We start from the raw sequence: 21,943 nt of genomic DNA, 5'->3' as shown, positions 1-21,943 counted from the left end.
AGCAAAGATAGATTATCTTGTCGTCTTGGCAACACACTCAACCTCTCTAAACATCAGATTTTTCATGGAAAAAGTCAAGAGAATGTTACCTATGTTACATGGTTGTTGAAAGGATTAAGTGTAAGTTTTGTGCTTAATACATAATGTGATAAATGTTAGTAATCGATGCCCTTTCTATCTGTAATTCTAAATATTGAAGGCAATCAATTTATTGTTACTGCCACATTTATTACTGTGTAATAGCACACAATTTATACATTTAAAAAGAATGAGTGATATTAAAATTAGTCTAAGAATAGAGAACTCAGTGAACCAATATTAAAGCAATATTTCCATTTAATGAAAATCATCAGTGCTCAAAAATAGAAAATTTGTGCACAGAGACTGAAAATGATATAAAAAAGGGTATTTCATAGGCGGACTATAAAAGGAATATGGACGTAATGCACATTATTTTCTCTCCACCTTAGCTACTGACTTGGAGATTGTGATTCCCATGAGGTTCAAAAAGAAAGATGTTTATAATAAATATGAAATGCATCAATGAGATTACATTATGGCTAGAAAATCAGGATTAATTTTATTCAGTTTCTAGAGAAGACAGGAGAATCTTTAACAGGAGGAAAGTTGTAAGTGTATTTATTAATTTAGTTGTAATCAAGTAAACGTAGCTCATAGGAAATATTCAAAAAAATTACGATGCATTTAGAAATGTAATACTATTTCTAATTGTGAGCATTTCGTGAGGAATACAGTTTGCCAAAAGTGTAAATACTTTCCTTCAAACTATGTTAATCAACGCATTGTTTAAAATTCTGATCTCTTAAAAGTTTCTTCCTTCTTTCCTTTCTTTCTTCCCTTTTTTATTTTAAATAGAAACTGAATGGATTAACTGTAGCTAGAATTTTCTGGGGGGGTTCAATAAAACTGCTAATGCTGAAATAAACTACAGGTGTTATATATCATGTTTTTTATTGCATGTTTTTACGTTTTAGGTGATATCTTTTAACCATGGAAACCCAAATCTATCTTTTAACCATGGTAAACTCAAATATATATAATAACAAAATGTGTTTTATTGAGACCTACTTAAATTACTTAAATTTTTAAAATTGTCCTTTTTAAAAATATTTTTCAAACAAGCCACAAGACAGTGTATAATATAGAGAAAAAAGCAGTTTATGATAGCAATATGAAGTGTGGAACTTTTACAATTAAAGCATGAAGAAAAGATACACAAAAGAATTGCAGAGACATAGAATAAAATAGTTCCACAAAAGTTCTAGAGAAAGTCCCTTAGGTTTTTAATAGAGTGAAAAACAAAAGAAAGGAAAACTATATTAACTACCTACTAAACACCAAATATTTTCTAAACGTTATCTCATACCAGGAATGGGTCTTATTCTTCCCACTTAACTAATGAGTCAGAAAAGACTTATGCCTTGCTCTAGGCCCTCCAGTAAGTAAGTGGGAATTCATACCCTTGTTAAATATCAGGATTCTAAAACCCATGTTCTTTCCACTGTTCATACTGTTTATTAATAAATATCAATAGTGCAGTTTGATAATTATGTTTTTCATAATCTAAAAATAAGGCAGCTTAGAAAAATAAAAAATACATATTTGGGCAAATTGACTAGTATAAAAAGTGTTATTGTTGGTTACAGATATACTTGCTAAGTAGGAGGAGATGAGTAAAAAGTTATTTTTAGAGTTCAAACAAAGATTTGTAGCTTTTTTCCAAATGATTCAAAATTGTGCATAAGATAATGTTGTGTCATGTTTCACTTCCAAGTATTTTGAAACTAAATGAATGTCAAAACATTTGAGTATTCTCTTCTTGACTTGTATACCTTCTTTATGAAAGCTAATTCACAACTCCAAATTTTATGATTTTTTTAAAGTCTTATCCTAAAAGCCATTTTTTTTTTTACTGGAACAATGGGTCTCTACTACATAATTTCATCACTAAATACCACTTATATGGAGGCGTCTTAAGTTACATTTCACTGAAGGAAAAAGATGCAATTTTATGTTCTTATTAGAAGACAGTGGAGGAAGAAAACAAAAATTCCAACAAAAACTCAGTGAAGACAAATGAAACCCTTAACTCAATAATATGATGCTAATGAGTCAATCATATTGAGAATACTTTTTAAAGGTGTGTTTTATCTTTTTTCCTAAGCTAACTATTAGCTGAAGAAAACTGAAAATAAGCTGTCATTATTGTGGCAATATACGAACACTAACAATATTCATATATATCTTTGACCTGAGGCCAATGATTTTCCAAATTATTTATCTATCAAAGCTTATTCCAAAGGAATAAGTAAAATAATCACTAGATTTGCATTTTCTTTTTCCCTTCTATGGTTTTCACTATCTTTTAAATTCATTACTCAATAAGAATTTGTGAAGCTGAAATTACAGGAAAGATGTATATTCATATACATAGTGCTGCTCATGTTTCATTGGTGAAAGTGTCAAAGAATAACAAATCCAGGATTTTCTCTTCAAGTCAGAAAAAGCTAATGGGGAAAAATAGTGTTGAATCCCAGCAGATTACATAACATCCTAAGGATTGTAGCTGTCAGTGGTGTAATGTCCTAATTAGTTTTGTTGTAGGAGGAACAGCATGAGAGAGCTTGATCTTTATTGAAAGCTGTAGCTAACTTACTTCGAGTGTAAAATTTATATTGTCTTAGGTAATAGCATCAAGCAGTAATATGAACACTGGATGTAATTTGTGTTACCATTTAGAAGCTATGTGTATTCTGTGAAAGTCATATTAACAACATTCTAGTCATTCTTACATGACAGGTCTTGTGTATATTAATAATCACATCCTAGGCACATTATTTTTTTTCATATCTCTCCCTAGCTACAGCTTACAGAAATTCAGTAGATAAAGTAAAGTTATGGCTTTAGCAATATATTGGCTTTCAGTATTAAATGATAGGAAAATCAAAGGTTACAGAAATTGAGATTTCTACTGAAGCTATCAATTCACTCTTACAGGAGACTTTCCCTGCAATGCAGGAAAAAAACCATAAAATATAAACATATTTAAAATTGTACTTGTGTATTTCTATACGTATTTAGCCATATAATATATATAACCACAAATATGCAAATTTCTAGACATCTCCGACGTGGCACTGCTAGTTCACGTGCTAGATGAAAGAGAGAGAGAGGTATAAAGACCAAATTAAATTTTAATACATTTTCAAACAAAAAATGAGTTTCCTTAGGGAGCCAATTACTTTTTATTTCATTTTATTTTACTTTAGTTCAAAAGACATTTTTTCAGTGCCTATGTACTGTGTTAGGTTTTAGGCATTCCGAAGTGAATGAGGCAGGATCTTAATTCTCAAGGAATGTAACATGTAATTAAGAGAAATGTTAGGGCAGGCATGGTAACAACGGTAACCCCAGCACTTTAGGAGGCTGAGGAGAGATCACTTGAGGCCAGGAGTTTGAGACCAACCTGGGCAACATAGCAAGTCCATGTCACTAAAAAAACATAAGAAATTATCCGGGTGTGGTGTCATGTGCCTGTAGTCACAGCTACTTGTACTTGGGAGGCTGAGAAGGGGGGATTGAATGAATCCAGAAGTTTGAGTCTGTAGTGAGCTATGATCCCACTACTGCAGTCTATCCTGGGTGACAGAGCAAGACCCTATCTCCATCGAGAGAGAGAGAGAGGGAGGGAGAGAGAGAGACAGAGAGTGAGAAATTATAAAAATAGCCCTATAGAATTTCTTCAGAATAACGATAGTGGCATATAAGACCATGGTAATTTTTTTCAGCGTATTTTGCTGCTTTTTAAGTGGTTCATCATCGTCACTTGGCATTTTATAAAATAAATCATCCTTAGGAAGTTTTAATATCTTAATTTTTTCTCTTTTCTCTCTACCACTTATTCAATAGAAGAATTGACATGTTTTAGCCAGGATGAAACAACAGAAAACAGAGTGGCTGGTTTGTATGCAAAGATATGCATGCAAAGGTACGCAGGAGAGACTGGGAGGCAGAGTGAACACACTGGAAGAGCAATGGCTGCCTATGAGGAGAAAAGCTGAGAGAGAATAGATGCCGCATAAAGGAGGGGATGACGTACTTTCTTCTCATCCCTTTCTTCTCCTTGTATTCTTTGCTTCTTCCCATTGATGTGATAAGTTTTTATATGGCATTAGCTTCTAGGAAGAACAAATGGACAGCATCAATCTTCCTTAAGATAGAATGACTTCCATGTAAAGTTCTGATTTTTTTTCATCTGACCGATAGTTTATGAGAAATAGAATAACCGATCTAATGACTTGAACTTTTCTTTTTTTTTCTTTTATTGAAAAGATCACTTACTATCTGAATGGAATCCCCCCAAATGGATGACAGCTACTAGAGTCCCATTAAGTCCAAGTTAACATATTTCTTTTTACCCTACATGCTATTCTTAGGAAAGAAACAGAACAAAAAACTAGGCCTAAATACTGACCACACATAACTAGAGCGTACTTATCATTCAAAATAATCCAGGTTATGTCGCAGTAACAAATTGAAAATCTTGGTTGCTTATAACTCCAGAGGTCAATTTCTTGCTTGTATACATGCTATTTCATGTTTGCTGAAGTTCAGTTCCACATCTCCTGTCCTTTGAGAACCAGCCTGATAGAGCTGTTTATCCTGGAAAAGGGAAAAGGGAACAATGTGCTAGCTATTAATACTTCTTATATGATGTATGCTTACATTTCATGGACACATTGCCACCTGTGATGTCAATAAGAAAGAAAGTAAAATTATCCTCCAGGGAAAGTTAGAAGATCATAGCAAACTCTACAGTCTATTGCAATGGAGATCTTCATGAGGCTCTGCCTAAACAGGTTTCCCCTTTTGTTTTTCTCATATCATTTCCCACTACTCTCTCCCGGGTTTCTGATGCTCCTGCTATGTTACATTCTTCACTCTTCCTCCTCTGCCACAGGGCCTATGTACATGCTGCTCCTCCAACGTGAAATATGTTTCCCCAAATCTCTGCATGGCTTAATCTTTTGATTCCTTCAGGTCTTCACTCCAATGTCACCTTTTCCGTGAGGCCTTTTCTGGCAACTCTACAGAGAAATCCAACCACTTTGGTATTTCTTACCTTCCTTTCTTGCTTTAATTTTCTATACTCAATAATGTACTATAAAGTTGTCTCTCAGTTTCTTTGGAAGATTGGTTCAAGGCCCTTTCCTTGGATACCAAAATCCTCAGATATAAAATGGCTAGTATTTGTTTATAACCTATAAACATTCTTTCATATACTTTAAATCATCTCTAGATTACTTATAATAACTAATGCAATGTAAATACTATATAGATAATCGTTATATTGTGTGCTTTTTATTTGTATTTTCATTGTTGTGTTATTTTTTATTTTTGTTTCTGAAAATTTTCAGTCTTTTGGTTGAATCCACAGATGTGGAACATGCAGATAGGGATGGTGGACTGTATACGCTATTTATGTTATATATTGTCTGTCTCACTTGCTGAATTGTTAACTGCATGAAAACAGTAATTTTTATTCACTTCTGAACTGCCATCATCTAAAATAATGTCTGGAATTAGGTAGGCTGCAATAATTATTTCTTGAGTGAATTGATTTATAAATGAATGAGGCATTCAATTCTATCAGTTTAGCTGTTTCTCTGGTCAGCTTAGCCCTCTCTTGCTGAAGGCTGTGGTTTTGTGGTCCTCCTCCCTTCCAATCTAAACTTCTCCTTTCCCCTAAATTTGGTGTCTCCTCATCGACCTGAGATATTTTAGAGGTAGGAGGAAAAAGTGCTAAACTGGATATTTTTGGCGGGGTTTGTTTTTGTCACTGAAATAGTATGTGATTATAGATGAGTTATTTCAATTGTTTGGGTCTCAAGAAATGAGATATAATAAGATATATGATGTTTATAATCAAGATATCCAAATCTAAGTCCAGGCAACACCACGTACCAGCTACATATATTACCTTAGCAAGATATTTTGCTTAGATTTTTTAGATTTTTGTTTTTGTTTTTGTTTTTATGCTTAATTTTTTAAATATTAGGCCAAGAAAATGATCTACCTATTCTTGTTACTAAGTTCTTGGCCTTAATGTCCAAACCCTCTTTGTTAGTGTTTTCATATTGCTATACTACCTGAGACTGGGTAATTTATAAACAAAAGAGGTTTAATTAACTCACAGTTCCACATGGCTGGGGAGGCCTCTGGAAACTTGCAATCATGGAAGAAGGTGAAGGGAAAGCAGGCAACATCTCACAAGGCAGCAGGAGAGAGAGAGAGAGAGAGCAGGCAGCGGAAACTGCCACTTTTAAAGCCATCAGATCTCTTGAGAACCCCCTCACTATCACGAGAATAGCAGGGGGAAAACCATCCCCATGGGGATTACAATTTGAGATGAGATTTGGGTGGGGACACAAAGCCAAACGATACGACCCTTGTCTGTACACTTGGCTCTGAGATACTGGACTTGGGATATGTACATCACATTTCTGCTTTGCTGGCTGGCTACTCTTCAGTTCTCCTCTAGCAAACACTAGAGGGAGTCTCCCAGTATGGAGGGAGAAGCAGAGACTAGCTTTTTCCTGTCTGCTTCCTATGGGCTTCTTATTTGCTGGCAGTTCCTAGGAGTCACGCCTGCAGGGCTTCTTTTCCTGGCAGCAGCCTCTGAATCCTGTTTGCCATTTTCCCAGCACTTGCAGAACCAGCTTTCTGCTGCCTTTCTCTTCTCCAGTCACCAGCACTAGTTGTGGGGTACCTGGTCGGGTCCTTAGGGGTCTGAATTTCAGCTCTACAGGATCTCTCCTCTAAGTCCCTGAATTTTAACGACTGCAATCTATTCCCTTTGTTTCCTCAGCACTAAGGGTTCTAGCTGTTTCTGAAATAGCTACCTTTGTGAAACTTTGGAGCTCTCTTTTTGCCCCTTTCAATAGTTAACAACTTTACACCTGGTTAAATCTCCACATTAAATTCTCTCTTGGTTTCTCTCCCCTGACATAAAGCAGACTGATACATTACCTTTCCTATCAAAGTCATGGGGTTATTGTGAAGATAAGATGAGATCATGTCTGGGAAAACTCTGCGTGCAACTCAGGATTGTCTGAACACTGAAATGACTGGATTGGTGTCAGCCATGTGAGGTGGGCTTCATGCACCTCTAATAGCTTCCCCAAAATGATATATAATATCAAGTCCAGAAGTTAAAAACGAAATTACCAAATCCAAAAGTTGAAAATATTTATGTCAGCAAATAATGACCCCACTCACTCATCTGTGTTCATCAGAGGAAACAAACAAACAAGACTGACGGTTTTGCTTCTGTTCTTGAAGAGCGGACAAAGCAGACAAGTTATACCTGTGGGAGGAAGAATGTGTGAGTTCCAAAGTAGAGGGCACATTGTTGAACAGAACACATTAATCAGTGTCTGGATTTTAAAAAGGTAAAAATAGGTCTATAGCTAAGTTTCACACTGGAGCTACAAAGAGCTAAATTGTGGAATCAATTCCTCTGGATTTGCTGGGTGAAGGTGCAAGAGCAGTAGGAAAAACACTCAGAATTTGGGGTCAAAAAATGTATATTCCTTTTTTAATCATCTTTATGATCTTGGGAATGATTCTAAACTTTCCTATGCTAAATTTTCTTATTTTTCAAGTGATAAATTCTACTATTTACAGTCAGTATAGCACCGTAGTTGAAAGATAGAAATTAGACCAAGACAGCTAGGTTTCTTCTCCTGCTTCAGTCACTACTATCAATGTGACCTTAAGTAAGATAAGCTTTGAGCCTTATTTTCCTGAACAGCAGTGTGTTGATGATGAAAATAGAAACCCTCCATTTAGCTTTCTTGGTGCATATTTAATGAGTTTGTGTGTGTAGATCTCTTCAAATAGTTCCTGAAACACAGTAAGCATGACATAAATAGTAGTCATTACCAGTATTAGTATTACATCAAAGAATTGTTACCTAGAGTAAATATATGAATGCATGTGAAATGCCTAGTGTCATGCCTAGTGGTCATTTAATAAAGGTTAAAACATGAAATTTATGGTTGGATTTTAGAGATATAATTTGAAAGGATTCTTGACTTATTTGTGCACTTACAGCCTAGTCCACAGTTGTGTGGGATACTTGATGAGATTCATGAGGACTCCCATTTTGAACCTCAGAAGGGATGGCCCTCTGGCGTTCTTTGCAGAGTGGGAACCTTTGCGGAGACAGTATGCACTCCAGTTCCTATTTGTGTTGTAGGTGGGAACCTCAGACAGAGCAGCTGCCTCTGCCTTGACTGGAAGAGACAGAGATCTCACTTGGTAGTATTTATAACCTGCAAGACAATACTCTCATTGACTCCACTCAGCTGAGTACTGTGTCCAGGATCGGAAGACCTAGAATGCTTTGCCTTTCTTTGGGCTAGGTATATTCCTTTCTGCCCAACTCTGGGTAAGTGAACCAGGAAAAGGAGTGAAGAAGTTTGCTTTTATTTTCCTCAGAGCTGGCAAGTCTGTTTCTTTTCTGTTTTACTGCTCCCTCAATTAGAGAAAAACTAATCTTTTCATTCTAAATTTAGAACTATAATTAAAAAATAGGTTGCATCTTAAACCCCTGTCTTTGAGGTCCTCTCCTATAACGATATATACCTTTAAGAATTATTGTAAGGGCAAAATAACTTACATATAATTAAAGTGCCCTCAAAACTGTTTCTCTTTATTTTTTTATTTGTGCAATGAGAGAAGAGGAAGAAGGAAGAAAACCATTAGTGCTCCTAGGCATAGATATAGATTATGATTTGTTAAGTGTGCCTTTGAAAAAGAAATAAAGAAAAAAATTAAAAAACAGTACTTGTAATATGGTTGCATTTTGTTTGTATACTTGCAAGAAGGGATGACTCTAGTTGGAGAAGGTGTTAAAAAAATAACCTCAAGCTGAAAAAGAAACTCTCACAAGGAGCATCTTGCATTTTTCTAAAGGAAGCTGGAAACAAGAGAATGTACACTGAGTACTGGCTGCTGCGTTCTTTGGAGGGAAACCCAAGGAATGTCTGTTTTATCAGAATTCAGAACACTTGCCATGGAGAGCTATATTTGAGCTTTTTACGCTCTTTCCTCACATAAGTGGCTAAAAGTGGTGCCATGGAGTAATCATGGCAAATAGTCATGAATGACAGAGCAACAGATGATAGAGGATGTCTCCATGGGGTTTTTTAATTTTATTTTATTTTTATTTTTTATTTATTTTGTTTTTGAGATGGAGTCTTGTTCTTTGCCCAGGCTGCAGTGCAGTGAGGCAATCTCGGCTCACTGCAAACTCCGCCTCCTGAGTTCACGCCATTCTTCTGCCCCAGCCTCCTGAGTAGCTGGGACTATAGGCACCCGCCACCACACCGGCTAATTTTTCGTACTTTTAGTAGAGATGGGGTTTCACCGTGTTAACCAGGATGGCCTCGATCTCCTGACCTCATGATCCGCCTGCCTCGGCCTCCCAAAGTGCTGGCATTACAGGCGTGAGCCACCGCGCCCGGCCCTCCATGGGGTTTTGACTGCTGACCCATGACCTCCAGGGCTTGGACCAGGTGAATTACCAATTATAAAATTTAAACTTGGTTGTCTTATATAATTTTAAGTGGAATCTTAAGTACATCATGCCTTCCATAGTACTCTTCTTATGTTTAGTTAACAAATATTTATGAGTATTTTAATGTTTTCCCTTATCTGTCCTTACTATTAGTCAAAGAATATTAGGATCAATTGAAAAACATGTTTCAGTATTGCATTACTTAAATTCATATTTAAAATAAAGGCAAGAGATACAGGCAAACCTTGAGTGTTTTCTGTAGCTTGAAATATTTCAGAGCTCATACTGAAGCTGAAAAAAAGTATTTCCATTAAAAAATAATAGTTAATATTATTTTTATTATTAATTATTGCTGTCTTATGTAGTAACAAGTCTTAGATCACCTGTGCACATCATTATTTTATAAAAATATCATGATTATTAAACTATTTTAAGATACTTTGTTTCATCCTATCTTTTAAGTACATTATTATAAATAATTCCACTGAATAATCCATAATATTTTTGAGGGTTTTTATATTCTAAAAAGAGCTAAGCAATTTGCAATAATCTTTGCTTGTAAAGAGCAAATAAAACAGAAAGCATTCTGAAAGATTTTCTTCTCTCCAGACTGGTAAATTTGAATCAACCATCTCCTTTCCCTACCTTCTCTCATTTAATTTCATGTCATCTCTATTTATGTATGAGAAAACTAAGCCTACGCCTGAGGGATTTATCCATACCTGTAGCCTTAAAATTAGTGGCACCTAAACTGAGCTTCAAGTGTGCAAAGGTACTGACCCAAAACTGCTCCACTAGAGGAGGTGACACGTGCAGCTTGAACTTGGACTTCCCAGCTTCCAGAACTATGAAAAATAAATTTCTGTTCTTCATAAATGACCCAGTCTGTGGTATTCTGTTATAGCAGCATAAAAGGAATTGAGACATTACTCATATAAATTTTCAAAAAGCATGATTCTGTTTAAACACATTCCTATATACCTCTTGGGTGTAAATCTTCCTGTTTACTTTTAATAATTACTCTTTAATGTAAATTGTTTTTATTGAACATAACTTTCCTCCCCCTTCAATCATAAGTGCATGGCTTGATAAATTTTTATGTGATACATCCATATTACTATTCTCAAATAAATAAATACAACATAATCAGCACTCCAGAAGAACTCTTCTATATCCTCCCTTGCTGCCTGTGACACAAATAACCACTATTCTGACATCTAGAATCACAGATTAGGTTTACCTGTTTTCGAACTTTATGTAAATAGATTCATAAAATATGCACTCCTTTTGTCTGATTTTTTTAGCTTAATACCACATATGTGAGATTCACTTACATTTTTGCAAATTGTACTACTTTCATTTTCATTACTGTATAACTTTTTTTGTATTAATATGCCACAATTTTTATACTCATTCTATGACTGATGAACATTTTGGCAGTTTTCAGTTAAAGCTATTACTATTGATACTGTTAGGAATATTCTTTTACATATCTTTTGGTGTTAGAATGAAGTTCTAATAGTTATATACCTAGAGCAATAAATGCTGTGTCATAGACTTGTTTTTCAGCTTTAGTAGATACTGCCAAACACTTTTTCCAAAATGTTGTACTAATTTACAAATAGCTTGGCTGAAATTTGGAATACCTATCTTTTTCAGTTTAGACATCAGGATACTACTAATAAATCCTCAAATTATACTAGCCATTTGTTATTATCAATGACATTATCAAATTTTTGTTATAATTGGCATGTCATTGATGACCAATGCAGTTTCTCACTTACTCATATGATTATTGGTCATTTGGATATCTTCTTTTGTGAGGTACCTGTGTAAGTCTTTGCCATTTTTCGGTTTCATTGTTTATGAATTTCTAATATATTCTTGATAATGCTTTATATTTTATGGCTATTTTTAGGTTGGTTGCATTTTTTAAATAAGCATCTGAATGAAATAAAAAGTAAAGACATTTTGAGTGCATTTGTAAAGCAGAGAAAAGCTATGACTTAAATGAAAGCAAATGACTGTGTTTTGTGATATAACCTAGAAGAGTGTTTGCATTCCCAAATCTTTGAAGAGCTAGCTTTTCTCATTTTTGTTTGCAATCATTTGAAAATGTATAGATCTTAAAGATTATACATAATGCCATCTAAAGACCTTACTCCTAAAATATTGGGGGTTGTATATGTTGCCATTTTCTAAGTCCCCAAATGCTTTGAAAGAAGTTAATTATAAACACACTATTCTTTTCTGAAAAACACATGGAAGATTTTATTTTAAAAAAATACAGTCTTCTTACTCCACCCACATTTTTTAATGGGTTTCCTTTATTTGGTTAGATCTGAAAGAAATTTTTAATATGATATTTGAAATATCTATTATGTTTGCAAATTTAATAAAATTCCAAACCTAAAACATATTCCAGATTTAATTATTTTTTTCCATGCCTTTTATAAGATCTTATTTTTCTTCTAAATGATAGCTCTACACTGCTTAAAAATATTCATTCCATCAATTATCTCACTTGACTTAATCAAAAGTGAAAGAAGATATATTAAATTTACTTCTCTAGGGGTAGAGTAACCCAAACAAGCTATCCTCAAAAGCAGAGCCTGAGCAGAGTGTAGGAGAAAATACACTCATTTAGAGCCCAACTCTCTTAAAAATTACAAAGGGGAAAAATTGTTAAGACATAGCCATAAATGATAATATTGTTTTATTTTCACAAATTTAAAATTCACACCATTTGTCACATCCAAGTATCTCAAAAACAATTTCCAGCTAGATATAGTGGAACCCACACTGAGAATATAAATCAAATTTAAGCCAGGATTCTGGGAATCACAGCTTTCTTTTATGTAGAAAGTTGCATTCCTGGTTTCTTATCTTGTAGCTTTATACAAAAGAGGAAGAAAAAGAATAAGAACAAAGGCTACAGACGATGTAAAGATATGGCGATTGAAGTTAAATTTTGTCTCACATACGAGGAGCACTATAACAAAAAACATCTAGAACCATAAATTGTTAAAATTTAGATTCTATATTCCTTTTTTTTACTTAAGCTCGTTTGTAAGAAGCTCAAAAGTAAAAGGCTTTTGTTAGCTGGAATTGTCCTAGACTTTGAAAATGTGTTTTAAATAGAGAATGAATCATTATGGATGAGCATATTGGATTTGCAAGTATTTGACTGTTTTGATACTTTCTGCCTGAATGTTTTCCAACTCTCTGTACCATAGATGCTTCCCACACATTGAAATGTCTTGCAGTTGTTCAGAGTAAAGGAAACTAGGCAAGGAAGTCTATCTTCCAAAGACAGTCCCTCTATATATAGCATTCATTTGGCTGTCAAAACAGAAAAAGGCTGTCTGACAAATGTCTAAATATCACAATGTTCATGTAGGCTCATTGTCTGAGGTTTGTGTTTTACATTTACATTTAAACATGTTTACTATATTTATTGCTCATATATACAGTTTCTCATTTCAGTTTCAAATGATGTGTACACTATTTTTTTGCAGTTATGAAAAGTCACATTTTATGTGGTAGATAAATTAGTAGTTTTTAGCAAAATGGAATTTTATATATTGAAGAGACAGAAAAATACAAAAGAAAACAGTTTTTATTTTATTTGGCTCATAGCCATTATTAAAACTTGATTAAAAAATCCAAATACTGCCAAACGTTATTTCTCTTTTTCAGATCATTATCATGAATAGAGTCATTAAAGGTCTGTCTTCCTCTGCCCCAAATAAAATGAAATATTGTGGGTTTTAAGTCTATAAACTTGCTTGGTATAGAATTGGAGCTTCAAAGACATGTTACAATCTTCTAAAGACTTCAGGTGAATTCATATTCTGCACATATACAAATTCAGGGAACAATATCTAAGATAAGGAACAATTTTGGAGTCTTCTTATCTCTCTTTAATTGCACTTTTCACTCTTTTTCTAGCATTCCTTATTTTCTGGATGCCTGGTAATCTATTCTTATGTTAGTTCCTTTCTTCCTTGAAGGACGGCTATGTAATTAGTCAACTATTTCAAATAAAAAAAAATTATGTTTTTTCATCGTTGAGATTCCTTGTGCTATTTTGATTTAAATAGAAATTTCTCGGACATCGTGGTGCTTAACCCAAAGAAATAAATGTGGATGTCTAGACTGACTTCCTTCCCTTCCTTCTTTCTCCTTTCTAAAGTCGGAGAAAATAGGGTTCTTGCGTGGGATAGGGGCACAGAGTGTATACAGAAGGGTCTTAGTGAAGGCTAAGTAAAAAGCATTAAACACGAAGGAAGCAAGAACTTGGTTTTGCAACTATGGCTCAAGCCTGGACAAGTAAGAAATATAAAAAAGAGGTTAGAATTTGCATACAGATTCAAAATACAGTTTCCAGAAGACTTAAAGACCCCAGTTAAAGAATGAACATTGCAAAGTTCTCTTGTCCCTAGGCTAGTAGTACTCAGAAATAGTCTGCTGTTATATAGTCCTAGACAAATGCTTTAGAGAGTGACAGAATTAAAACCTGCATCACAACTCTGGGTTCGGGCCACATAGGGTGACCAACTTCTCCTTTTACCTTTAAGAGATCTGGAATATACTTTGGTTCTTCAGAAATTTCATCTCTTCTGGAACCCAGGGAACTTTAAAGAGAGACAAAAAAGTCCTCCTGACCTGTCTTTAGAGTTAATATCTGTCAGTGATGGTCAGGAACCTAATCAAAGGTCTGGGTACCTTTCGCTTTAAAATAAAGCATCCATTTTTTAATAGAAAGGTTTTCCTGTTGCAACTTATGAATGTATTTATTTGCTTGTTAGTTTGTTCATTTGTTCATATATTAAAGTAATAGTTATTTCATTTGTACCTTAGGTGATAGGATAAAATGATAAATAAGACTAGTTTGGGCTGGGCACAGTGGCTCATGCCTGTAATCCCAGCACTTTGGGAGGCTGAGGCGGGTGGATCACAAGGTCAGGAGATTGAGACCATCCTGGCTAACATGGTGAAACCCCATCTTTACTAAAAATACAAAAAATTAGCCAGACGTGGTGGCACGCACCTGTAGTCCCAGCTACTCAGGAGGCTGAGGCAGGAGAATCGCTGGGAGCCCGGAGGAGGAGGTTGCAGTGAGCGGAGGTCACACCACTGCATTCCAGCCTGGGCTATAGAGTGAGACTCTGTCTCCAAAAAAAAAGACAAATGAGGTGCAAGACAAATGAGGTGCCTATTCTCTTAGAGAGATCTGAATGAGACAAATAAGTACTTTTATACTACAGAGTTCTAACTTTTAATGAAAAGTCCTTATTTCAATAGACTTGTTTGTTGATAACTGGGACCTACGCTTTGTGACAGGGCATATTCCAGGATAATCTATTCTGAAATATTCAATAATATTTTATAATTTATAATAATAGGTACATCAAAAGTTACAGAGACAGCTCAATAAATACCTGCAGTTTTAGGAAAGATCAAAGGAAATCATCCTGATTATGTAGCCCTTGTTTAATGCAATCAGATATAATTATTAAGAATTTGCATCTGTATTTAGATACCTGAGTTTAGAATTCAAGATTAAAGGAAACATTTTGACTTTACAATTTTTTTTTATTTTTACAAAGACAGCTAAATATCTGGAAATTTTATCTCTTCATTTGGTTATATTTACAAATAAAGGATTTTTGTAACATCCGGCATTAAAAGGCATATCTCAAAGTAGCTTCAAAGAAATTCCAAGTCGCTTGTAAACCCAGATAGATCTTTTCATAAACATGGTGGCAAGTCATGGCAATACAGATTTTCAGTGTGGGATACTTTCCTATTTTATCAAACAGATGAGTTTCTTTAAGAAAAAGAAAGCTACTCCAAATATCCATATGTGACACAATTATGCAATGATGCCCTAAACCTTGATATTTTAAAACATTTTTAGAAAGTCTACTGTACAGAATGCCTTTTTCTACTCTGTATGTCTATAGCCTTCAAGATCAATCTCAAATTTCATTTCTGACAGTAGTCTAAGCAAGCAACTTTTTGAAACAGATCAAACACTTGATCTATTATATTAATCTCGAGACAGAATTGTTGAAATTCCCTAATTACTATAGAAATTTATCAATTTAGCTTTTAGCTTATTTTTTCTATGTATATTGCTACAGTTTGAATTTATGTGTTCCTCTAAAATTCACATGTTGAAATTTAAAGTCCAAGGTGATATTCTTAAGAGGAGAGGACTTTGGAGAAGTAGTGAAATCACGAGGGGGCTCTGCCCATGTGAATGGGATTAATATCCTTATAAAAGAGGCTTTTGAGAACTGCCTAACCCTTTTTCCCCTTCTTCCATATGAGGATGTGGTGTTGGTACCCTCCGGAGGCTGCAGTAATAAGGCTCCATCTTGGAAGCAGAGAGCAAGCCCTAACCAGAAAACAAACGTTCCAGAGCCTTGGTCATGGACCTCTTCTCAGCCTCCCTAACTATGATAAAAACAGTTTTTATTATTCATAAATTACCATTATCAGATATTTGTTATATAGCAGCAAAAACAAAGTAGGACATATGTTACAAAGCTATGTTGACAGGCACATACAGATTCATAAATGTTATATCTTCTTAGTGAGTTTTTCATTTTATCATTAAGTAACAGTCTTTTCAAATCAAAACATTTTTTCCTTTAAGTAGATTTTGTATGACAACAATGCTTGCTATGACGGGGCATTAAGCCAGACATTTTTCTTATCACCAAAGTGAAAAGGCACACAAGTCCCCAACATTATTTAGCCACATTGGGTACATTCTGTGGAATATTGTGCCTGAAAAGTCTAAAAGGGGAAAATTGCTCCAATGGAAGTAATGTTTTCATGTTGGTGAAGTTGTCAGATAAATGGTTAGAGTTTAGGAAAACATTCACTAAACCAAAGATTTTGCCAATTAATGGATAATGTAGTGAAACTCCTGATGTGGTAGGTCAATGAGTGGAAAAGTTTAATTAAATACTACATTTAATACAAATGGTTTTCTGCTATACTACTTGGGCTGTTCATGCTATGGATGCCTATCATCTTCTGGCTTCTTATTTGAAAAATAGCTTTAGACATTAAAATATTAGAAAAATAATACAAAGTGCTTGTAAACCCTAAATGTAGCTTTCCCTATTGAAAATATCTCACATAAACTTAATTATATAAATACAGAAATGTCACTGATACAGTAGTGTTAACTGCTCTCTCTACCTTATTAGAAGTTTTCAAATGTTCCCATTAGTGTCCTTTTCCTGATCCAGGATCCAACTCCAGACCCTACTTTGCATTTAGTTGTCAGGACTTTTAATTATCTTACGGTTTGTGATGGTTACTCAGTTTTCTTTGTCTTACATGACCCTGACAGATTTGAAGAGTACTATTTATTTAGTTTTTAGCATTTTCCTAAAGTTGGGGATATTTTTTTCAGGGTCAGATTCAGATTATGCATATGTGACAGGTATACTCAAAACGGTATTATGCCCTTCTCAATGTATCATTTGAAGATGAACATGATGATGATATGTCTTACTTTTAATGAGGTAAACTTGATAATTTTTGCCAAGTTTCCCTATTATAACATTTCTATTTTTCCTTTTGAAATTAATAAGTTTTTTGTGGGAAGATAACTATAGACTGTGCAAATATCTTGTTTCTAATTATAACTTTTCCACTAATTTTAGCATTCACTGATGACTCCTGACTGCAATAAGTATGACTAAATTGTTTACCAAGTGGTGAATTTTTATTGCTTCTCTTATATTTATTAATTTGAATTCTACTCTAAGAAAGAGATGTTTCTTTTATTCCATTTATTTGTATATGCACTCAATTATTTATTTCTGTCAATACAGACTCATTTATTTTATTTGATGGGCCAAAATTCATAGCTATCACTATTTAATTTTTTCCCCAAATTAACCCAGTTTGGGCTATTGAGAGATTCTTTAAACCGGCTCCTGTGAACCCTCATCTTTTTTAAAAAATTGTTTCTTCACTTTCTTCTTTTCTGGCATTCTAAGATATTCTGGACTCATCTTGGACTTCCTCAGCAATTGCCCAACCCTGGAATCAGCCATTTTTCTCAAGGATTCTTGTTTGTTTTTATTAGAAAATTGCATTTAGAAACCAAAATCTAGACATTTGGTGTTCTCACTACTACTAGGATGTTATTGCTGTTATGCCTTCTCTGTAAACAAAACTTGAAAGTATTTGTGTATATAGTAACACATACGTACACACGTCTACATCTATTTCTTATTTATTCACATTACTTATAATAAAAGCCAAGAGTTTTGATAAATATTTTCAGTTCCAACCCAACATCACAGAGTTCATTCTAGCCTTCCACTTTCCTTATTTGTAACTCCTTTCTCTGATAGTGAGAAACTTGTGTTGTTACCCACAGTCTATTTCTGTAAGACACAATTACATAATATATTTTCAGAATTACTAATACATATACCAGTAAAGCAAAATTTAGCTAGAGTATTATTCGTATACAATTATTTTTATCTTTATCCTTACGTATCTTGTCAAAATAATCTTTTGGAATCTACTTCATCTTGTTATTTTTCCCTGACCCCTTCAGTAGGGCTATGTTATTAATCTGTAATAGAGTTAGGCTTATTCATTATGGTTTTATTCCATTTTTGGTTCCCCTTAAGACATCCAGCTTGAGTTTATCAATATATTGGTTCTGTTTGTGAAATGTTGCTATGATCCTTAGCTGCAGAAGTATACTTAAAGGTATACCTAGAGTAATGTCTCTCTCTCCCCTTTTCTTCTAACCCCCATTCCCTTTTTCTTTTCACTCCATTCTCATTATTTCTCATTCATTTTTTATTTTTACTACTTGAATTACTTTATTCACAAATGAGCAGATGTGTTCATTATTTTCTTATTTACTCTTTTTTTCTTATATAAAAGGCAATGCACTATAGGTATTCAGGTATTCTTTTGCATTTTAGTATTTACACTTGAAAATACATCCTGAAAATCACTCCATATCAGTTAATAGAAATCTTTTTTATTCATTTTTATAGCTGCAAATGGAGTACGAAATATTCTTAAATGTCTATACATACAAACTGATAACTATTTTTATTCATTAATTTTGATGACTACTTACATTCAAATCAAAATAAAATGCCACACCACTTGCTGCCTGAATTTTTATCCCTTTCCTGGCTTCATGAATCAGGCAAACACACATGTCTTGACTCATGTACATGTTCTAGCTGTTACTTATCACCCTCTTCCTGTTACTTCTTGCTTGAGTTGGCTTCTGCTTCATCTTGTGATCTCATATTTGAATCTGAGTCTGCGAGTCTCTGATTCTCCCCTCCTCTTTCTAGCTCTGGGCACCTTTCATCAGTATTGGTCCCACCTTGGCAGCAACATGACTCCCAGTCTGTGTGTCAGTTTCTTGGTGAACTCCTCCAGCCGTAGTGGTCTTACTTTTACAGTAGGCCTAGTCTACTTGGGTCCAATCCAGCTGATTCTACTCCAGCTTCTATCTTTTCTCTCTGACTTCTCTGCAGCACTCACATACTCTAAACAAGATACCTGGGATACTGTCCAAGTTGCAGAATAAAACTGTGCTTTAAAATTTAGCACTTTTTTTTTCTAAAAAAAGAGGGTTACTTCTTTTTGACTATATCTGTGCTATGCTTTTACTCTGACTATTCATTTAGGACACTGTTGAAGCAGCTCCCTGACAAAATTTATCCATTTATAGTAAATGTTTCACTTCATGGAAACCTGCTGAAATGGAAAGTATTTTGGAAATAAATTAAACATAGACTATTTTTGAAAACTATGCATAGGCAGATTCAGCAAATGTTGATAGCTTGGAAATTCCTGATACTTTAAAGGGAAGAGGAAAAAAAAAAAACTATACTTCTTTGGTAAAAAGTTTTTAGTTTCCCACATCTTACCTCATTTTTACAGATGCAGTGATTAAGACCCTGATCAGGTGTCCCAAGGAGTCTAATACATCTGAAAAGAAAACTTCTTAGTTATTCATATAACCTTGAACAGCACAAATCAAAATGCAGAAATAATATATCTACATTTAACTCTCTTATTACTAAAATATTATGAGATCTTCTTTATTTCCTTTTTCTGTCAACACATGTAACAATTTAGACATCAAATTTGAGCTATATGAAGAGCAGGGGGCAGCCATTAGAAGAAATAAGTAGAAAACATATGCAACAAATATTTGTGATAAAGCAAGCCATTTCATTATCCACATGCAGTTTGAGCCTCTTTACTACATTCTCATTTTTGGCAGAAATCAATTTGCCTCTTTTTCACATCAATGGAACATCTCCTAGATGAAGCCCTGAGGTGGGTATATAAAGGGTATCTGACTTTTTCATTAATGCAAAGCTATTAAAGCCATAAATAGGAATTAACAGCATTCAACATTCACTGCAGAAGGACTCCTCTAGCAAATAGTCCATAGAAAAAAAAACAGAACAATTTTTCATTTAAGTCTGGCATTTATAGGTTGGAGGTGATCTAAAAATTGCAGCATAGAAACGTAAGTTCTAAAGGTGAAAATGGCGCAATAGTGGTCAGAGCTGAATAATTCACTTTTCTCAGATCAGGTTTAATTTTACTTGTACTATAAATGCATAGACAGATATTTGCTACTCTAAAAATACACTGTGTATATTTACTTGCTACAGATGTCTGATGAGTCACTGCACAATATGTTTCGGATAGGTGAAAATGATTTGAATATCTAACAGAATTGCAACTAAAATAAATATAGTATTTAAAAATAAACTACAGAGGTTAAACATGCTGAGACATTTTAAGGTTAGCATTGCCTACTTGATGAACAGAGGATTCATGATCATCTCTCTGTTTCCCTCTGCATTTCTCATTGTTTGACATGCTCGTCTCAAACAGAGCAGATGTTGGCTGGTTCTTATAAGTAGTTTCTGAGAGACCCCATCTTCCTTGCAGTTGTCAACCATCAGGAGCTGGGGATCCTGTTCACTATTAGTAGGTAGTCCCCTACATTATACTTAGAAATCAGGAAATTTTGTGTCAAAAATGAAGTTCTAAAGTGGGAGAGGGGAATGTAAATTGTGGAATTCAATTACATGGAGAATATGAACAGTCATCCAACTCAAAAGCATTTAACTCAGAGAAGAAATCTCACTACAACCCCCAGATGGATGAAATGACCAACTTACAACTTACCATTTTCACTTACTTACAAAGCAATGCATTCTACTATTCCATTGTTGGACATTCTGAGCCATTAAAAAGTTCTTTAATTTTAGCTAGTATGTCTCTTTGCAATTTCTTATGTTAATCTTATATTTGCCCTCTGGTGCCACTAAACTAAACCTAATACCTGTTTTTGCAGGTTAGACTGCAACTACTTGTTTAAAATATCCAGTCATTAACAGTTCTTCATGTAATGTAACTATAAGATTCTCTCTTCCTTTTCCAAGTTTTTGCAGCTATTTGGAGAAAAAGTGACTAAACAGGCCACTTAACATCCTTAACAGCTCCCATTTAAAATACTGGCATTGCCCACACTTTTGTCCAGGAAATCTATAATCTGCCTTCAACGGGCCCTTCTGCCTTAGTTCCAGATCCTTTACCCACCAGTTCACTTCTTGAATACTTCCTGTCCTTTAACCCAACGTGCTTCCCAAAGCCACCGCTTCTGAAGCATCAAGTTCACTTTATCTCACAAAAGCCAGTTCTGACAAATCCTATCCCTAATCCAGCTCCCAAGAAGTCCAGCTTTGACAAGGATTCTAATTTCAGGAGTGGTGGCTAGCCTAAATTTATGTAGACAGCCTAAATTAACACTGAGTTCTTAAGACTCCATAAGCCGTACTCAACAAAATTGATCAAGTTAATTTGTTTTGTTTTGCTTTTTACTGGCTGAGAACACTTTTGAGGCACCAAATTTGCCTTAAAAGCAAATATATATTTTTTTAAAAAAGCAAGACTAGGCTGGGCGCGGTGGCTCATGCCTCTAATCTCAGCACTTTGGGAGGCTGGGGTGGGTGGATCATGAGGTCAGGAGTTTGAGACCAGCCTGGCCAACATAGGGAACCCCGTCTCTACTAAAAATACAAAAATTAGCTGGGCATGGTGGTATGTGCCTGTAGTCCCACCTACTCAGGAGGCTGAGGCAGGAGAATCGCTTGAACCCAGGAGGCAGAGGTTGTGGTGAGCAGAGATCATGCCACTGCACTCCAGGCTGGGTGACAGAGCAAGACTCCATCTCAAAAAAAAACAAAAGCAAGACTGTCTCCCTACCAGAGCCTTTATCATCACCATGACTCATGA

The sequence above is a fragment of the Homo sapiens genome, chromosome 9 (assembly GCF_000001405.40).
Source record: "Homo sapiens chromosome 9, GRCh38.p14 Primary Assembly".
NCBI lineage: Eukaryota > Metazoa > Chordata > Mammalia > Primates > Hominidae > Homo > Homo sapiens.
Note: the sequence above shows the minus strand (reverse complement) of the source record.